The sequence below is a fragment of the Homo sapiens genome, chromosome 14 (genome assembly GCF_000001405.40).
Source record: "Homo sapiens chromosome 14, GRCh38.p14 Primary Assembly".
Lineage (NCBI taxonomy): Eukaryota > Metazoa > Chordata > Mammalia > Primates > Hominidae > Homo > Homo sapiens.
In genome coordinates, this window is record NC_000014.9 from 72,370,674 (window position 1) to 72,392,259 (window position 21,586).

At 37.8% G+C, this 21,586-nt stretch overlaps 1 protein-coding gene and 1 long non-coding RNA gene across 53 annotated transcripts in view; one reads left to right on the top strand and one right to left on the bottom strand.

Moving 5' to 3' along the window:
* The window catches only part of RGS6 (regulator of G protein signaling 6), a 762,695-nt gene that overhangs the window by 503,339 nt on the left and 237,770 nt on the right, over positions 1-21,586 (top strand). The gene's annotated exons all lie outside the window — the stretch shown is intronic.
* Positions 11,703-21,586, bottom strand: part of LOC105370559 (uncharacterized) — a 36,836-nt gene continuing 26,952 nt past the window's right edge. The window contains exon 4 of one of the 2 annotated variants that reach the window (XR_944018.3): positions 11,703-12,028. This is a non-coding gene — a long non-coding RNA (uncharacterized LOC105370559). The remainder of the gene's footprint in view (positions 12,029-21,586) is intronic. The other variant, XR_944019.3, reaches the window with a different exon arrangement.

Below are 21,586 nucleotides of genomic sequence, written 5' to 3' on the forward strand. Positions count from 1 at the left end.
TTGTGATTGGGACAGTACCTGCAAGAGACTACCAGAGTGTTGAAAAAAAAATTTTTTAACATCAATCATGGTAACATGATTAAAATAATGTAAACTGTTCCCACAGTATTTCTTCTTAGCACTTTTCTGTTTGTATAATATTTCACAATAAAAATAGCTTTCCTTTTCCTTTTTCCTTTTGTTTTACAAAAAGTAATTTGAAGTCAGTTCGGTGAATAAAGTCTGTAATTAAAGAGGGAAATGCCAATTGTGGTTTAAATAAGGTGTGACTCTGGGTAAATGAAGTCAGTTTTCTTGTTGTCCTTAAAAGCTGTTTCATAAGTTTATTTCCAAAGAGCATTTCCAAAAACATTTGTAGCACAGCCAATACTGATGGAAGGAAGGGTGTGGCTTTTTTAGGGCCAACTCTGAAAATGACAGTGCTTAATTAAATATTGATTATGCTGTGGTTGCCTTAACAAATGTAACTTCACTGTAACATGTTTTATTTAAATGTATGAATTTTTCTTCTTATGGGATTCACTTTAGTAACAACCTCTTAAAATCCTGTCAACTTATAACTGTGAAAGCAAAGGCATATCTCTGATGCTCCTGGCCTTTGTGTCATTAAAATCTTACTCTAAATGTCGCATTAATTCATCTTTTCAACATTTTTCCTTGTTTGATTTTTTTCTCCTGGAAGAAAAAATGCTAAGTGGAATGAAGGAAGGAAAAGACAGGCAGTTTATTAAAAGTCAAAATATACCATACAAACCCCTAATTGTACTCTAAAATTTCTTTTTAAACGTTTCTATTAAAAAATTCTGGGCCGGGCATGGTGGCTCATGCCTATAATCGCAGCACTTTTGGAGGCCAAGGCGGGCGGATCACCTGAGGTTGGGAGTTCGAGACCAGCCTGACTAACATGGAGAAACCCCGTCTCTACTAAAGATACAAAATTAGCCAGTCATGGTGGCGCATGCCTGTAATCCTAGCTGCTCAGGAGGCTGAAGCAGGAGAATTGCTTGAACCTGGGAGGCAGAGGTTGCAGTGAGCCGAGATCGCACCATTGCACTCCAGCCTGGGCAACAAGAGTGAAACTCCATCTCAAAAGAAATTAATTAAATAAAACATTCTGTTTCCAATAAGATAAAATTTGAGAAGAGAATGAAATCCAGATTTAGTGTAGCTGACCCGGGATCACTGACTCTTTTTTAGAGAAGGAACTGGGAAACTGCAGTGGACATCATGCTCTGGAGCAACAGTGACTATGGATTTCACTGTATCATCGGTCGCAGCATGGAATTCTATACACTAAAATCGCTGGATGAGATGCTGGTGGGAAGACCCTAACAAAATCGTGTTTCTGACAGAAAGTGTATACACATTATGAGCAAGGAGAACATTAGTTTTCAGCTTAGCTCCTTGTGCAGTTGAATTTGTTACTCTGTTCTGAAGACATTGGTGCCAGATAAAAGCTTTAAACACAAAACGTTGTTACTGACATGTTAATATAATTATGCCACGTATTATATATACAAAACTTTAAAAGCTAAATTTAGAAGTTATTGCTGTATCATTTATATAGGCTTTGTTCTCCTTAAACACGTTGACTTTAATAAGGCATGTTTTGTACAAATAAAGTCTAATTCTACCATCAGTTGCAGCCACAGGAAATTTGAAGTCATTTTTATATAAAATTTAAATTCCAACACTTAATTCAGGTTCTATGACACCATTTTCTAGATCCAAGAAGGAAATCATTGGCTCAGGATTTTCTACAGCGATCTATCCTGTATGTTCCTCAGATAATATGCCCCTAGAATATTATTTTTTATAAGAATTAATGGCAGAAACATTTGAGCTTATCACTGATGGCATTTGTTGACTATCAAAATTGTCTAAAACCTCCCACATTTATCCAGGTATAAAAGTAAACTTCTAGGTTGGGTGTAGGGTAGGTTGGGAGTCAAAAGAGGACACTCTATAGAGTCACAGTTCATAGGTTTTCCTAAAGAACACTTTCTAAATCTAAATTTTTCCTCCCACTAAGCCAAATGAGGAGGGCTCCAGGGAAATCACTGGTGATGATTAGGGGTCCTACAAGAAGCAGGGTGTTAACCTTCTCACTGATTGGATTCTTGCTGAGCTGTTGAACCCATAGCTCATCCTTGCTTCTGCTGCCAGAGAGGAAAATATGGAAAAGTTCATGGGCCATTTGCCAGAGTTTGTGGATGTATATGAACTGAGACTCTTGAGGCTAAGAGGCTGCATGGGGCAGCCCACACCAAAAGGCAAATAGGGCCCATATTGTAGTGTGATGCTTAAGGAGAAATATATGGAACACTGACCTCCCCACCCCCAGGATCCCTGTGACTCTTGGAGGGTCAAGGGAGCATCATCATGGAGACAGAAGACAGAGAAAGAGAGGAAAAGAGGAAGCCGAGCCCACCCTTTTCCTGTCTAGGTCCTCTAGACAAAGCTGTGAAGGGAAAAAAAATAGAAGATAAAATGGGATTTAAATTTTAAACTGGACTAAATTGCAAGTGACCAGAAAGCTAAAGGGTCTGCTCAAGATGTCATAAGGGAAAAGTAAAATTATTTCCCATTGGTACCTCATCGAGTTCATATTGTTCAAGAAACTGGATATAATACCTAGTGACAAAGAGACTAGGACTTCTGTTTTGTTCTTGTCATACAGCCAAATATTGTTCTGGTCACACAGCCATAACAATACCCATTGGGGCAGAACACTGAACTGGTAAGAAAGTAAGGGAAATTTTTAGAGGCCTTAAAATAGAAAGTGAGAATTCAGGAAAGTAGACTCGTTTTAGATTAGTCTTTTCTCAGAGGACATCTGTCCATCCTGGGTAGTCTAGGGCATGAATTTTAAAAGCCTATATGAGTATCAAGTAAAAAAATTGAGTAGGGTGGCAGTCAGTTCAGAGACTCCTGAAGAGCAATACGATTATTAGATGAGTAGGGGGAGAAGGCTTTAGAGAAGGAGATGATGGAAATAATCGTTTTGTCTTTGGCTATTAATAGGTGAAAGACAGGAGAAAAAGTCTCCCTAGAAAATTCCTAATTCCAAATTCTAAGTCTATTCTTGTTGGCGTGTCTCACTAAACCCCATGTGGCCCAAAAATTCAAGCAAAAATTTAAATTGTCTTTTTTTTTCCCCCACTCAGTAAAGATTTAATGATGAAAAAATGCAAGTTTTATAATACAAATATATAAAATTATGAAAACAATTTTTATAACAATCATTTGATAGTCTTTTTTTAAAAGACTACAGAAAGTTTAAAATATAATTTTGTAATTATAGATATAAACAATGAAGTTTTATAAAATTAATCATTTGATATTTTTAAAAAGGCTATCCAAAGGAATTTAAAATCAGAATGTTGTTGAAACTGAACACCAACTGTATCTACATTTATTTCTTTTTTTAAAATACTTTAAGTTCTAGGGTACATGTGCACAACATGCAGGTTTGTTACATATGTATACATGTGCCATGTTGGTGTGCTGCACCCATTAACTCGTCATTTATATTAGGTATTTCTCCTAATGCTATCCCTCCCCCCTCCCCCCACCCCACGACAGGCCGTGGTGTGGGATGTTCCCCTTCCTGTGTCCATGTGTTCTCATTGTTCAATTCCTACCTATGAGTGAGAACATGTGGTGTTTGGTTTTCTGTCCCTGCAATAGTTTGCTGAGAATGATGGTTTCCAGCTTCATCCATGTCCCTACAAAGGACGGCATTATTCACAATAGCAAAGAGTTGGAGCCAACCCTAATGTCCATCAATGATAGACTGGATTAAGAAAATGTGGCACATATACACCATGGAATACTATGCAGCCATAAAAAATTTAAACTTTCTCTATTTCAGTACTGCCCCCAGCTACCAGGAAGAAGCAAACACATCTCCTCTCTGGAGAAGCACACATTAAATACAGAACAAAAAAATTTCCAGATAAAAACAAAAGTCACTGGAAACATAAGAAAACAAAACAACATAAGGATAAGTCAGCAAAGAGCACAAATGGCAGAATCCAACACATAAAGATTGCAGACATTGTAATTATATTCAGATTATAGAATAATTATTAGATCATACGAAATTGCCATTTTTATAGGTCAAAGCTGGTAACTATCTGCAGTTCCATATGCTTAACATAATGTTTTTAAAGAAATAAGAGAGTACTGGAAGTATGTTGAAGAAAAGAGGATTAAGGATTCTCAAAAAGGACTAGAAGCTTTGATAAGTAGCCAAATGGAATCTCTGCAAATGAAAAATATAATTGAAATTAGAGACTTAATAGAAACATTAAACAGCAGATTTGACACAGCTAAACAAAGAGTTGATAAACTAGAAGATAAAGCAGATAAAAGTACTCAGAATGTATCACGGAAAGGCAGAAACAAATAATATGAAAGAGAGGTTAAAAGACTTGAAGAAGAGAGTGATAAATTCTAACATCTAACCAAATTTTGAGAAGTAAATAACAGAGAAAATGGGAAGAGCAATTCTTCCCCATTGTCTTTATTATTTCCTTCCAAATTTAAAGATCTAATAGTTGACAGTTTTTCTGAGTGGATTAAAAGCATCGGGTTCCAAAAGCCAAAAAAATTCCAAGCAGGATAAAATGAAAACAAATCTATATCTAGCTACATTGATGTCAAATTTCAGAACACTAAACACAAAAAGAATCTTCAAAATGACTAGAGAGGGCCAGCTGAGGAGACTTCACCTGTGTTCCAAGCCTGAGAAACAGCACCATGGGCCACCCCTGGCAGACACGTCCCTAGGCTGGCTGAGCAGCTGTGCACCCATGTCCTGGGCCTGAGAAAGAGCCCCACAGACTGCTCCTGGCAAGCATGCCCCCAGGCCAGCTGAGAAACCATGTGCCCCTAGACAGAGTAACAGCCCTGTGGTCCCAACCCCAGTGAGCCAGACCCCAAGAAAGCTGACCCACTGTGTGCAGACATATGCCTCCAATCTGAGCAACAGCTCAGCAAGCCCACCTCTGGAAAAGTTGCACCGCTACCAGCACAAACTGTCTAAGCCTAGGCCACTGAGACATTCATAAATATCGCTAGTATGGATTACAGCTTAAGAAACTACTGGAGACTATACTACTGTGTCTACCCAGAAGCAAAGCCAATGCACTGCATTGAGCCCACACCCCAACACCCACATAAATGAATAAATCTTTTCCTATTAAACCTACTCCATAAAATTGGAAGAGGTGACTGTTTCATCAGATGTGTAGAAATCAATGTAGGGACACAATAAACATGAAAAAGCAAGGAAACAGACCTCCAAAGGAACACAATAATTCCCTAGTAATAAACCCCAATCATAAGGAAATAAATGAAATGACAGAAAAAGAATTCAAAATAATAATTCTAAACAAATTCAGTGAAATATAAGAAAATATATTCAATGAAATCATGAAAACAATAAGTCATTATTTTAATGAGAAATTCAACAGAGATAGATATCATTTAAAATGAACCAAATTCTATGGCTGAAGAACTCAATGAGTGAAATAAAAAATACAATTGAGAACTTCAACACCAGACTAGACCAAGCAGAATTTGTTCTTACTTGAAGACAGGTATTTTGAAATAATACAGGCAAACAAATAGATGAAATTAAATAAATAATAAAAAGGAATTAAGTCAAAGGATTTATGGGATATCATTAAGTGAACAAATATTTGCATTGTGGACATTCTGGAAGAAGAGAAGGGAAAAGGTGCAGAAAACATATTTAATGAAATAATACGTGAAAACTTTCCAAGTCTTGGGAGAAAGATCCAGGAAGCTCAAAGAACCCCAAATAGATATAATCCCCACAGGTCCTCTCTGAGGCACATTTTAGTCAAATTGTCAAAAGTCAAAGACAAACAGCAAAAGAAAAGCTTCAAGTCACATATAAGGTAATCTCCATCAGATTGATAGCAGATTTCTCATCAGAAACCATGTAGGCCAGGAAAGAATAGAATGATAAAGTCAAAGTAGTGAAAGAAAAAAAATAAAACTTGCCATTCAATATTATGCCCAGCAAAGCCATTCTTTAGAAATGAAGGAGAAATAAAAATTTTCGCAGACAAGCAAAAATTAAGAAAATTCATCACCACTAGACCAACCTTACAAGAAACGCTTAAGAGAGTCTTACATCTAGAAGCGAAAAGACAATAACCACTGTCATGAAAGCATGCAGAACTATAAAACTTATTGATGGAGCCAATACACAAAGGAGAAAGAAAAAGAATCAGACCATATCACTACAGAAAAACACCCAACTGCAAAAATAAGAGAGGAAGTAAGGAACAAAGGATATACAAAACAAGTAAAAAGAAATCGATAGGATGATAAAAGTCCTCACCGATCAATAATAACCTTGAATGTAAATAGATTAAAATCTCCATTTAGATGTAGACTGACTGAACAGATTAAAAATACAAGATACAATATACAGCCCACAAGAAACTCATCTCACCTATAAAGACACAAATAGACTGAAAGTGAAGTGATGGAAAAAGATACTCCATGCAAACAGAAACCAAAAGCAAGCAGAGTAGCTGTACTTATATCAGACAAAACACACTTCAAGACAAAAGCTACAAAAAGAGACAAGGGCATTATATGATGACGAAGAGATTAATTCAGCAAGAGAATATAACAATTGTAAACATATACACTTAACACTAGGGCACCTAGATATATAAAGCAAATATTATTAGATCTAAAGGGAGAGATAGACTACAATACAATAATAGTTGGGGACTTTAACACCCCACTCTCAGCCTTCGACAGATCATCTACACAGAAAATCAACAAAGAAACATCAGATTTAAACTGCACTATAGACCAAATAATATAAACCTAACGACATTTACAGAATATTTCACCCAATAGCTGCAGAATATGCATTTTTTTTCATCAGCACGTGGAACATTCTCCAGGCTTGACCGTATATTAGGACACAAAACAAATCTCAAAAAGCTTTTCAAAATCAAAATTATGGCCAGGCATGGTGTAATCCCAGCACTATAATCCCAGCACTTTGGGAAGACAATGCAGGAGGATTGTTTGAGCCCAAGAGTTTGAGACCAGCCTGGACAACATAGTGAGGCTTTGTCTCTACAAAAGATTAAAAAATTAACCACCCGTGGTGCTGCACACCTGTGGTCCCAGCTACTCAGGCGGCTGAGGTGGGAGGCTCTCTTGAGCCCAAGAGGGTTGCAGTAAGGATGCAGTGAGCCATGATCATGCCTCTGCACTCCATCCTGGGCAATAGAGTGAGACTCTATCTCCAAAAAAATATTGAAATTTTATCAAGTATTTAATCTGACCGCAATGGAATAAAACTGGATATCAGTAACAAGAGGGACATTTGAAACTATACAAATACACAAAAAGTAACCTGCTCCTGAGTGACCAGTGAGTGAAGGAAAAAATTTAAAGTGAAATTTAAAAATTCCTTGAAACAAATGTAAATAGAAACACAACATACCAAAACGTACGGGACACAGCAAAAGCTATATTACAGGCAAGTTTATAGCAATAAATTCCTAGGTTGAAAAACTAAAAAGATTTCAAATCATCAACTTGAGATGCATCTCCAGAAACCAGAAAACTGAGAACAAACCAATCCAAAGTTAGTAGGAAAGAAATGATAAAGATCAGAGCAGAAATGAACAATATTGAAACTGAAGGAAAAAATACAAAAGATCAATGAAATAAAAAGTTGGTTTTGGAAAAGAAAAACAAAATTTTAAAAACCTTTAGCTACACAATGAAAAAAAGAGAAGACTCAAATAAATCAGAAATGAAAAAGGAAACATCACAATGAATACCACAGAAATACAAAGGATCGTTAGAGACTATAATGAACAACTCCATGCCAGTAAATTTAAAAACCTAGAGGAAATAAATTCCTGAACACATACAACCTATCAAGATTGAACCAAGAAGAAATAGAAAACCTGAATAGGTCAATAACAAGTAATAAGATTAAATCAGTAATAAAAAGTTTCCCAAAAAAGAAAAGCCCAGAATTGGATGGCTTCACTGCTGAAATCTACCAAACCCTTGAAGAAAATTAATGCTAATTTTTCTTAAACTATTCCAAAAATTTGAAGTAGAGGAAATTTTTCCTAACTCATTCTATGAGACCAGTGTAACTAACTAGATAAGGATGCAACCAAAAAATGAAAAAGGTTATACAGGTTAATATCCTTAATGAACATAGACACAAAAATCCTCAACAAAATACAAACCAAATCCAACAACACATCAAAAAGATAATACACCATGATCAAGTAGGATTTATCTCATGAATGCAAGGATGATTCAACATATGCAAATCAATAAATATAATACATCACATCCATAGAATGAAACACAAAAGTTATGTGATTGTCTCCAAAGATGGAGAAAAAGCATTCAATACAATTCAACATCCCATCATGATAAAAACTCTCAATTAAGATGGTATAGAAGGAAAGTACCTTAACATAATAAAGGCCACATATGATAAACCCACAGCTAACATGGTACTGAATGGGGAAATCTTTAAAGCTTTTTCACTAAGAACTGGAAAAAGACAAGGATGCCCACTCTTACCATTCTTATTCAACATAGTAATGGAAGCCCTAGCCAGAGCAATTGGCAAAAAAATAAATAAAGGGCATCCAAATTGGAAAGGAGGAAATCAAATTGTCTCTGTTTGCAGGCACATGAACTTATATGTAGAAAAACCTAAAGGCTATATCAAAAAACTCTTAGAACTGATAAGTGAATTCAGTAAAGTTGCAGGTTACAAAATCAACATACAAAGATCAGTAGTGTTTCTGTACTTGAACAATGAACTAATGAAAAAGAAATCAAAAAGGCAATCCTACTTACAATAGTTACATTTAAAAAAAACCTAGGAATAAACTTAACCACAGAAATGAAAGACCTTTGTAAGGAAAACTACAAAACACTGATGAAAGAAGTTGAAGAGGATACAAATGGAAAGACATCTCATGCTCATGGATAAGAAGAATTAACATTGTTAAAATGACCATACTACCCAAAACAAACTATGGATTCAATGCAATCTCTACCAAAATAATGATATTCTTCACAGAAATAGAAAGAATCATAAAAATGTACATGGAACCACAAAAGACCATGAATAGCCAAGGCAATCCTCAGCGAAAAGAACATAGTTAGAGGTATCACACTGCTAGACTTCAAAATATACTACAAAGCTGTAGTAACCAAAACAGCATGGTACTGTTATAAGAATAGACACAGAGACCAATAGAGCAGAAGAGAACCCAGAAATTAATCCACATATCTATAGCCAACTGATTTTTGACAAAGATGTGAAGAACACTCACTGAGGCAAAACAAAACAGTATCTTAAATAAATGGTCCCCAAAAAATCAGATATCCATATACAGAAGAATGAAACTAGACGCTCATCTCTCATCCTATACTAAAGCCAACTCAAAATGGATCAAAGACCTAAATGCAAAATCTGAAAATATAAAACTAGTACAAGAAAACATAGGAGAAATGCTTCAGGACATTGGCCTGGGAAAAGATTTTATGAATAAGACCCCACTGGCACAGACTACAAAAGCAAAAATAAACAAATGGGATTATATCAAACTAAAAAGCTTCTGTACAGTAAAGGAAACAAGAATGAGAAGACATCTTACAGAATGAGAGAAAATATATTCAAACTTTTCATCTGACAGGAGGTCAATATCCAGAATATGCAAGGAACTCAAATATCTTGACAGCAAAAAAAAAAAACCGAACAATCCAATTTTAAAATGGGCAAATAATCTAAACAGGCATTTCTCAAAAGAAGACATACAAGTGACCAAAAAATACATGAAACAAGTGTTCAACATCATGAATCATCAGGGAAATGCCAATCAAAACCACAATGAGGTATCATTTTACCCCAGTCAGGATGGCTATTATCATAAAGACAAAAATAACAAATGCTGGCAAGAATGCAGAGAAAAGGGAACTTATGCACTGTTGATGGGGATGTAAACTAGTAGAGCCACTATGGAGAACAGTATGGAGGTTCCTCAAAACACTAAAAATAGAACTACTATAGCATCCAGCAATTCCACTACTGGACATTTATGCAAAGGGAAGGAAATCAGTATATCAAAGGGACATCTACACCCCCATGCTTATTGCAGCACTATTATATAGCCAAGATATGGAATCAACCTAGGGTGTCCAACAATAGATGGATGAACAAAGAAAATGTGGTATGAATATATAGGTATATGTGACGGAATACTATTAGGCTAAGGAAAAGAATAAAATCCTGTCATTTGTGGCAACATGGATGGAACTGGAGGATATTATGCTAAGTGAAATAAGGCAGATACCACATGTTGTCACTCATATGTGGAAGCTAAAAAATATTGATCTCATAGAAGTAGAAAGTAGAGCAGAGGATACTAGAGGTTGAGAAGGGTAGAGAGGGGGAGAGAGTTGTTAAAGGATACAAAATTACAGATAGAAGTAAGTTCTAGTGCTCTATAGCACTGTAGAATAACTCTAATTAACAATAATATATAGTTTCAAATAGCTAGATGGAGAATATTGAATGTTTTCAACACAAAAAAAGATAAATGTTTGAGATGATAGACTATGCTAATTACTCCAATCTGATCACTATGCATTATATGTATCAAAACATCACTATGTACCCCATAAATATGTACAATTTTTACATCAATTTTTTAAATAAAATAAAACAACTAGAAATAAAAGACAGATTGCCTATCAAAAAACGACTGACAGCTAACTTCTATGTAAAAATGGACGCTACAAGGCAGTAGAAGACCATCTTTCATGTGCTCTGATAAAATAACAATTAGAATTCTACATGTAATGAAACTATCTTTCAACAAGAGCAAAATTATCATGCAAAAGAAGTGAAAGGAATGTATCACTACCCTATCTTTACCAAAGAAATGTCTACAAAATATATTTTAGGAAGAAGAAAAATTATCTCAGGATGAAAGTTTGAGATATCAAAAGGAATGATAAATACTGTGGTAAGTGGGGCTTAATCTAAACAATCATGGACTGTATAAAGAAAAAGCAATAATATCCACTATGAGGAGTTAATAAGAACCCAAGTGACTTCTAACTACTGGAAAATAAGAGCATGCAAATTGGGAAAGGATATAAACGTCCTCTATTGTTCGGAAAAATGGTAAAGCTACTTAGTAGTTTTAGACTGGTAAGAACACTCACTGGGGCAAAAAAACAGTGTCTTAAAATAAATGTTGCTGGGAAAACTGGATATCCAGATGCAGAAGAATGGCTTCTTAAAAAGCCATTCTTCTGCATAGCTTTTTAAGTTGAAATTAATTAAAGTCATGTAGAATATTAAAATTTAGTCACCTGCATTAATAAAATTTAAAACTTATGCTCATCAAAAGATCTATTAAAGTAAAAAGAAGCCACAATTGGAAGAAGATATTTGCAGCACACACCAACAAAGCATTAGAATCATGAATATATAAAAGACTTCTAAAAATTGAGAAAACAACAAACAATGCCATAGAAAAATGAGCAAAACCATGAACAAACATTTCATAGAAGAGAAAATATACATGACCAATAAGCATACAACAGTTGCTCAATGTCATTAATAATCATGAAAATGCAAATTAATTAAAACTACAGTGAGATATCATTTTAATTCACTAAACTGGAAAAAATTAGACTCTGACCATGCCAGGTATGCACAAGTGTGTGGAACAAAGGGAATGCTAATCGAATGCTGGTGGAAGTGTGCATTCGCAAACCACATTGGAAAACGTTGTGGTGATGCCTATGGAAGTTGAACTCTTACATATTTATGACTTGGCATCTCCACTCCAAGGAATATATTATAGACTAGAGAAACAATTGTGCAAGTGATTGAAGACACTCATCTTAGCAGCATTGTTCGTAGCAGCAAAATTCTGGAATAATCCAGGCATGACGTTTGGCTCTAGAATGGAAAGAGAAAGCACATTATAGTCATATGGTAGAATTATACAAATGAATTAGCTATAGGCTTTAACAAGGATACAATTCAAAAACAATATTCCTGAGAATAAGCACAGGATATCTCATGATCCCAATTATGTAAAGTTTAAAATCAGGCAAAAGTAAGCATTGTATTATTTAGTGATTCATGCATATTTGGTTAAATGGTAAAAATACATACTTGAAAAGGAGGACTAACTTTTGTGGGGAAAGTAGACAACAAGAAATGTTTAGGTGTGGAGGTACTCGGTATCAATCTCAAAGTATACTCATAATGTTTTCTTCTTTTTACTGGGTGGTGGGTACCTTTATTATTTTAGAATACATCTTTATACTTTTACATATATGCTTATGTTGCATTTTGCAATTAAAATTTTTTCAAGAGTTTACAGTTATATAAACATATATACTATATTTACAGCCATGAAAAAATTGTACATATATATATATATATATATATATATATATATATATACACACAAACACACTAGTATGTGTGTGGATGGGAGAGGGAGAAAGATTGATTTTAAAGGAATATAAAATAAAGGTGTATCACGAGGTGGGACTAAATGAACACATTTACTTGCAGAAGATGAATTTGACTTTACTGTGCTTTTTTGGATTGTGCCGACTCATAAATCTAACTGGGCTTTTAGTAGACAGGAGACGATTGAACATTATTCCATCTTATGTATTTTCAAACAGACTGTATTATTTTGGGTGTTGTGTGTCTCACCCACACTGTCAAGATTCTGTAAACCTGCAACGTGATCCATTCGGCTGCGCTCTAGTTATTATCCAATTATCATCCATTCTGCTTATTAACAGGCATAAACAGACAGTATTTCTGCATGGAGCTGATACCCTCCATTATGGGTCACCGGTCCCGTTCTTAAGTAGGATTGTGAAGGAAAAAAGCAGAGAACTTCATCTTCAGTACTAATTTCTCTCACTTAATTCCTTCTGTTTTACTCTTTCTCAAGAATGGGCATTTATCCTCTACTGGTGAAGAAAGGGCAGAGTTGTAGGAGCCATCTACGGTAAATGCAGGCTTTCAAAGGGTGGGGGGGGACGGTAGAGATTTTAAACGTAATAATAAAACTGAACAAAATTTGATCTGCTGTATGTTATCACTATGCAATTCTAAACAGTGTTAGCATGAAAATATTCCTCCCCTAGAAATTATTTTGTTGATCTAAGAGTACTGAATTGCTACAGTTACTTTTGCATTGTAATAATATATCTGTAAGCTTCAAATCAGCATATTATATTCTACATGGACGTTAACTCAGAGAACCAAGAGTTGCACAGGGACTGCCAGCACACTCAGTGACACACACACGTTTTGATCGTATAATAAGTGCCTAACAGGGTGGAACTGGGCACAGGGCATGTCTCAGACCTGTATGGTACTTTTAAAAAAATAAGTTAAAATAAACACTGGGGCATGGTGATGGAAAAGATGAAAAAACAGAACGTAAGTTATTTCAATGTTGTCACTCGGTGTGGCCACTTGGAGTTTATATTTGCATTTTACTGTTGCATTTGAAAATTGTTAAAGTGAAAGTGACAAGTGCAAGACACACTCTTTTTGTTTGGTAAATATACATTTCAGTCCACACATGAGAATAGTTATTGAATGTTAGAAGTATCTTTTAAAATGAAATGTATGTTTTTTCCTATCTTTTGGTTTTAAAAGTGAAAGAAAAAGAAATTTTAGAAAATTTAACCTTATGTTACTTACTAGTATAATTTAGTGGTTGCCTAAATTGTACTGTTTGCATACGTTTCAGTTTTATTAAAGATCACTTATTGGCTGTTGTCAGTAAAGAGAGGATGTTAAAAATGATGTGTTCTGAGTGTCAAATCCATAGGTGTACTCTGTGATCCTCTTTTCCGATCAGTTCCCCGAGTGTCAGTAGGAAATCTAAACAGCTAAGGACCAAGCACAGGAGGAGATATAACCAATGGACTTTTAACTGAGGGGACACGGTTTGCATATTTTTTTTATTTTTATTTTTTATTTTTTGAGACAGAGTCTCACTCTGTCACCCAGGCTGGAGTGCAGTGGTGCAATCTTGTCTCACTGCAATCTCCGCCTCCCGGATTCAAGTAATTCTCCTGCCTCAGCCTCCTGACTAGCTGGGATTACAGGCTTCCGCCACCACACCCAGCTAATTTTTGTATTTTTTAGTAGAGATGGGGTTTCACCATCTTGGCCAGGCTGGTCTCGAACTCCTGACCTCCTGATCCACCCATCTCAGCCTCCCAAAGTGCTGGGATTACAGGCGTGAGCCATGGTGCCTGGCCGGTTTGCATATTTGTAACGGTGTCTTTAGCACCTGCCCGTCATCTTTCCTAAACTTGGTCTGCTTGAGAACACACCTTGCTTGCCATGTCGTTTATAGGATAATTTTCCATGAATGGAATTATTTGAATCTCAAAGATTTTGTCAAAAAATATATTCAAAGCTTGGGTGTAATAGACATTACACCTGAAATTACATCCTTTGCGGTTATCTCAATGTACTTTAAAATGTTTAGACATTATGCTAAAAATATGTTAAAAGGGGGCGTCATTTTTTCAATTTCTCTTAGGGATCACACAAGGAAGAAAAGTTTTTCAAGACTGCTGATGTAAAATAGTGTTATCAGACAGTGTTCACATTTGGAGGGATTGTTGGTAGCCAAGTCTCCTTGGTGTTTCTTGTGAAAGAATTCTTGAGAAAGAAATATCAGGCAATTGGGGTATATTCCTTAAACATATAGTAGGGAATGGGGCTGGTGAATCAGTTCTGAATGCCTGTTTTCTTCTTTAAAATTCCAGCCAATGATATGAAGCCCAGGTATGTGGGGGCCTTTTGATGACAGTGAGGGTGAGACTAAGGAAGCTGACCTGCCCTGCCCAGGGACACAAGGCTGGCTAGCAACAGAGCCAGGACATTAGTCAGTGTGTCTGGCTCTGAAGCCCCCATGGGGGACACTGTCTCCCATCTCCTTTCTCCTGTGTTTAGCCTTGACTTTCACCTTCAATGTCATGCCAGACAAAGAGTTGCTATGGGGCAAGTGGGAAAGGCAAAACTTTTTCTGAACTGCTCTTTAATTTGTCAATATAGCCCAAATCTAGTTGCAATCTGGTACACTTTTAGTCATGAACGAGGGTGGAAGAAAGCTAATATCACATGTTGACCTTTCATTTTGCCACCAAGAAGCTCTCCTTGAATATTCTGAAGGAGAACACGTTCTTGCTGGGGGCTGGATAAACCTTAAAAATTTCATGCCCCTGAATGAGCATTTCCCCTCATCACGGACTTGTCCCTGGGGCTTTCTTAGGCATGGGCAGGATGTGGATTGAAGGAAGAAACCCAGTGTCATGGGCAGCAAAGGTTGAATGTCTTCTGTGTCTAGTCCTAACACTGACTTGGAGCCCATTCCTCATCATTTTATCTTACTTTCTCCCATCTGAAAATATTTACAAAATCATGTTTGATGTCAAAATACTAAATACTATTTGGGGGGCCGGGTGTGGTGGCTCACATCTGTAATCCTAGCAATTTGGGAGGCTGAGGCGGGCAGACTGCCAGAGCTCAGGAGTTCGAGACCAGCCTGGACAACACGGTGAAACCCTCTCTCTACTAAAATACAAAAAATTAGCCAGGCATGGTTTTGCATGCTTGTAGTCCCAGTTACTCAGGAGGCTGAGGCAGGAGAATCACTTGAACCCTGAAGGCGGATGTTGCAGTGAGCCAAGATTGTGCCACTGCACTCCAGCCTGAGCGACAGAGCGAGACTCCATCTCAAAATAATAATAATAGTATTTGGAGGATTTTCCCAGAGCATTTGGGAAGCATTTGTACACAAATGAGTCTGTGAGCAAAGGGCCAAGGCAAGGGGCAGGAGCTCAGATGCAGGCTGTGTTGATGGGGCTCAAATCCAGAGCCCCATGATCCCTATCCCGTGCTCCACTGCACCATCCTATTATCCTATTTTGCATTTTATTTTTACATTCCTATAAATAAAAAGTGCAATCAAATAACTTGAAATATGGTATTGCTTTTGTGCTTAAAAATAATCTCAGAAATACAGCAAACATGCCATTCACTTGAAATTCTAAAAAAGGGCAAAACTATGTTGACAGAAAACAGATCAATGATTTCCTGGGGTGCTGGGGGTAGCAGTGGGTAGGAAGAGAATTAGCTGTGAAAGGGCACTTGGAAACTTTTTCAGATGAGAGAACTGCTGTATCCTGATGGTGAGGGTGGTTTACACAGCTGTATACGGTTACCAACACTCATCAAACTGTGTGCTTAAAACACTGACTATGCAATACCTTTATGCTTATGTCTTTTTATAATTTAAATAGGGAGAAAAAATATGTATTTTGTAATATACATATTAATACACATTATAAGATATATATAAATATCAATAAATAATACCTTATTTGGAAATAGGGTTTTTGCAGATGTATATAATTAGGCCCACCCTAAATCCAATGGCTGGTTTCCTTATAAAAAAAAGGGAGAGGGGGCTGGGCGCGGTGGCTGGCGCGCCTAATCCCAGCACTTTGGGAGGCCAAGGTGGGCGGATCACCAGGTCAGGAGATGGAGACCATCCTGGCTAACACAGCAAAACCCCATCTCTACTAAAAATACAAAAAATTAGCCAGGTATGGTGGCGGGCGCCTGTAGTCCCAGCTACCTGGGAGGCTGAGGCAGGAGAATGGCGTGAACCCAGGAGGCAGAGCTTGCAGTGAGCCGAGATCGCACCACTGGACTCCAGCCTGGGTGACAGAGCGAGACTCCATCTCAAACAAAAAAAAAAAAGGAGAGGGATATTTGAGATACACAGACACAGAGTTATATATTGTACATTTTACAAAGAAAAAAATGTACATATATATGTATACCTATATACGTATGACATCCCTTTCTATTCTGTCTTCCACAAATGTGAGTATAAGTCTTCACAGTGGGAAGTAGGAATGATCAGAGATGGAGTATTAGTTTGCCAGCACTGCCGTAACAAGGTCCCACAGACCAGATGGTTTAAACAACAGGAATTTATTATCTCACAGTTCTGGAGGCTCAGAATCCAAGATCATGGTGGGGGCAGGGTTGGTTTCTTCGGAGACTTCTCTCCTTGGCTTGTAGATGGCCGCCTTCTCACTGAGTCTCCACATCCTCTTCCTTCTGTGTGTGTCTGCATCCAAACTTCCTCTTCTTGTGGGGACACCAGTCATACTGGATTCAGGCATACCCTGATGACCTCATTTTAACTTATTTTCTTCTTTGAGGACCCTATCTCTAAATCCAGTCACATTCTGAGGTACATGGGATTAGGACTCCACATATGAATTTTTGGGGGGACACAATTCCACCCATAACAGATGGAGAATAGTGCTTGAGGTCTTTACTAATTTACTCACCTTGGCTCTATTTGAGGTTTTCTGCCAGGAGCAGGTATTTTATAATTTAAAGTATACATATGGGAAAACACACACACATACACATATATATATACACATATACACATATATATACACATATGTGTGTGCATATTTCAAACAAGGCAGAGATCATCTGTGACCCAAATATGTGCTGATGAGATCAATGGACTGTGCTACTTATTGGTCCCATAACATATCACTTGTAACCTCTATCTATGACCTTCCACGTCAGTGCAATAACTAATACAGCCATCATACACAGCTGTGCAAGAGTTAACATTTTATTCTTCTGTGACTGAACTTCTGTTTCGAGTCCCCCTTTTCTCAGAGTTGCATCTCAGTTGGTGGGGCTGGGGGTGTCTGTGGTCTCAGGCAGGGAAGGCAGGCAGCTCTTCTGGACCTGGCCAGAGTACATGGTCATTTCTCCAGGATGGTCTCCCTTAGACAGCCTCATTCCCTACCTGGCCACTCACATGTGTTATTGCTGCACCCTCTGTCCTGACCCTCAGGCTTCTTAAGTTTGACTCTGAAGCCGCACTCTCTGGGTTTGAATCCCAGCTCTACTCACTATGGGCTCTGTACCTTGGCCACTTCACTTTACTTTACTTCTTTGTGCTTTGATTACCTCATCTATAAATTAGAGCTATTCATAATAGTATCTACTTCATGTGGCTGTTGGGAGGATTAAATGAGTTAGTATGTGAAAACATTTGAAAGCGTGTCTGCCCCATAGTAAAAGCTGTATACTGTAAGTGATTCCCATTATTAGTAGTAGTAGTAGTATTGTTACTGTGATGTCACATGCCTCATTGGTGTTTTATTTTGGGGAGCACATAAAGTACTCCATTTGCCTCTCTTAGCTGCAAGAGAGAAATTCTCCTGGGTTGTCTCGGGTCCATGTGCTGGACCCATATTTCTGCTCCTGCATCATGCTGGGAATACAGATTGTGGAGCTGGGGTGCAGGGAGGTGTATGACTTTGCCAGCTTCCTGTATTTCCCTTGAGAAGTGGAGCGGTGCTAATTGTCCCTGTCCCGGATGTTCCATCAACTGTGTGGTCCCATACCAACCCCTCAGGGGTGTCTGCCCAACCCCCACCCCAGCTTTCTTTCCTTCTTTACTTAGCATCTACTCCTCAGGAGACTGCTTTGCCCAGTATGCCCTAAGATAATAAATGACCTTCTGAGAGTCAAATGCCAGGACTCACTCTTGGTCTGTTTGTCCTCACCCGGCTGCTCCCTTGGGGGTAGGCCAGGACACACACTGGGTGAGAAGCGTGGTGGAGGAAAATTATCTGAGTTAATTTATCAAAATACATTATTCCCCAGTGACACTAGGGAAACCTTACAGAGGCCCCGCCAGCATCAAAGAGCAAGGTTCTGTTTCCCATGTTCCGTTACCCGATCCCCAGGGCCTGAAACAGAGTCCAGGGAATATTTGGAAACTAATCGTCATGAGTGGTAGCATCCTAAGCAGTACCATTGTTTACCTCCTAAGATCCCCCAATAATTGTGGTTGGCTATTTGTTTTCTAGTCATTTAGACACACACACAAAAATTGTTTTTCAAATGAGAAGGGGAATCCACAACAAAAAACTGTGGCTAGCTTATTTTCGAGTTTGAATGCTTTGTGTAAATTAATAAAGTTGAAGTCTATCCCATGTGTATAAAAATCTTGGAGTTATGTTCATTAATGAGTCTATTGAATTAGTTTTCATAAATTCTTCTGATTCAATTGCATATTCTTAAATTAACAACAAAAGTCCAACTTGTATCATTAAAGACTCAAAACAGATGGTGGGAACAGTAAAGTGTAGGAAAGTGGGAAAAATCCTTAAAAAATAAACGGTTCTTTAAAATAAATGAATACCAAATAAAACAGAAAAGTATAAAGAGCTATAGTTCTTTTTTTTTTTTTTTTTTTTTAACTGAGACAGAGTCTCGCTCTGTCACCCAGGATGGAGTGCAGTGGTGCGATCTCAGCTCACTGCAACCTCCGCTTCCCGGGTTGAAGCGATTTTCCTGTCTCAGCCTCCTGAGTAGCTGGGATTACAGATGCATGCCACCACGCCCAGTTAATTTTTGTATTTTTAGTAGAGACGGGGTTTTGCCATGTTGGCCAGGCTGGTCTTGAACTCCTGACCTCAGGTGATCTGCCCACCTCGGCCTCCCAAAGTGCTGGGATTACAGGCATGAGCCACTGCACCCGGCCGGGAGCCATAGTTCTTGGTGGAAAGCAAAGCTTTTCACATCAGCTAGTGTAGTGTCTGAAAAAGTCCTCATTATAGATGGGACAAAAAGATTTAGTGGGAAGAAGAAAGAGAACATTGAGACAGTTATGAAAAGTTTTAATTGTAAATTTTAATTCTCATGTGAAATGAAAATTTTGGGATACTTTCACACACACACACACAAATGTTATCCTCAGATTAAAATATTTATGTGGGAAATGTTTAGAGGTAAAATGTTTAGAGGGGAAAAAACCACTTACCATGATTGCTGCCAGAAAGGGTAAACCTTAGAATCATAATACTGCAGAATTTAATGATCCTTTGTGAGCTTCTGGTTCAACACTCGTTTTACAAGCAAAGAAATGGAGGCTCAGAGAGATTGGTTAGGTGAGCCCTGCAAGGACTCATGGCTAAATAGTGGTGAAATCAGAAGCTAAAGCCAGGTTTTCTGGCTTTTATTCCAGGACTGAGATGTAGTGACCTGACTCTCGTAAGTTTCTGGCTTCTTCCTTTTGGAGCCACAGGTAAGCACCAGTCTAGAACCTTCCACTCAGACTTCATGCTCCAGGGTTGTGACCAGAGCTTACAAGGGTGTTGTCCTGGGCTGGAAGCAGAGACTGTGAAACTCAAATATACTTAGGCAAATGCAAGCATATGAATAAATCACCGAAATCAGGACAAACAGCTTTTCTTAGATAAATTGCCCTTGGAAAGAAAGGTGAAAACTAAGCCATAATGCATGAATGTGTTAATTGTTTTTCTCTTCTACAGACACTAATTTATTCTGAAGGGAATGCTTCATTTCCAAATTCTCCTTCTACTTTAAAGAAATTCAAACTTCAAGAAAAAAATTCAACACCATATTGTGATTGCTTCAATAGTTAAGAATTTCGGCTGTCACGACTGAAAAAAATCATTAGCAAAAACTGGCCGTGGAAAAGGGAAGTCTGTCTAGTTCATGACAAGCATCCATCATCGTATGTGAGTTAGTAATTTCTCACCTCTCATTTGAGAGAGGCAAGGTACCTGTGTGCCATTGGGGTGGGCTTTCCCCGCAGTGACAGATCCGGATAGATCACCAGCCTGGCTAAGCTCCAAGCCTTAAATTCCTTTACTTCTCACCCCTGGGCCATTTCCGCCACTTTTCCTCCATCTCCTTTATCCATTTAACATCTGTTACATATATGTATATACACACACACTTTAAGTTCTAGGGTACACATGCACAACGTGCAGGTTTGTTACATAGGTTTATATGTGCCATGTTGGTTTGCTGCACCCATCAACTCGTCATTTACATTAGTTATTTCTCTTAATACTATCTCTCCCCTAGGCCTCCACCCCCTGACAGGCCCTGGTGTGTGATGTTCCCCTCTCTGTGTCCTTCTGTTCTCATTGTTCAACTCCCACTTATGAGTGAGAACATGCGGTGTTTCGTTTTCTGTCCTTGTGATAGTTTGCTGAGAATGTTAGTTTCCAGCTTCATCCATGTCCCTGCAAAGGGAATGAACTCATCCTTTTTTATGGCTGCATAGTATTCCATGGTGTATATGTGCCACATTTTCTTTATCCAGTCTATTATTGACGTTTAACATCTTTTATTTATTTTTATGTTTTACTTTTTGAGACAGGGTCTCTGTCACCCAGACTGGAGTACAGTGGTGCAATCTCGGCTCACTGTAGCCTCTGTCTCCTAGGTTCAAGTGATTCTTGTGCCTCAGCCTCTCCAGAGGAGACTTTGACAAATATATATATACACATACATACACAAATATATATATATATATTTGTCACAAGGATTTGACCTTATGCAATTATGTTTGCTGGTTAAGCAGCCTCTGTG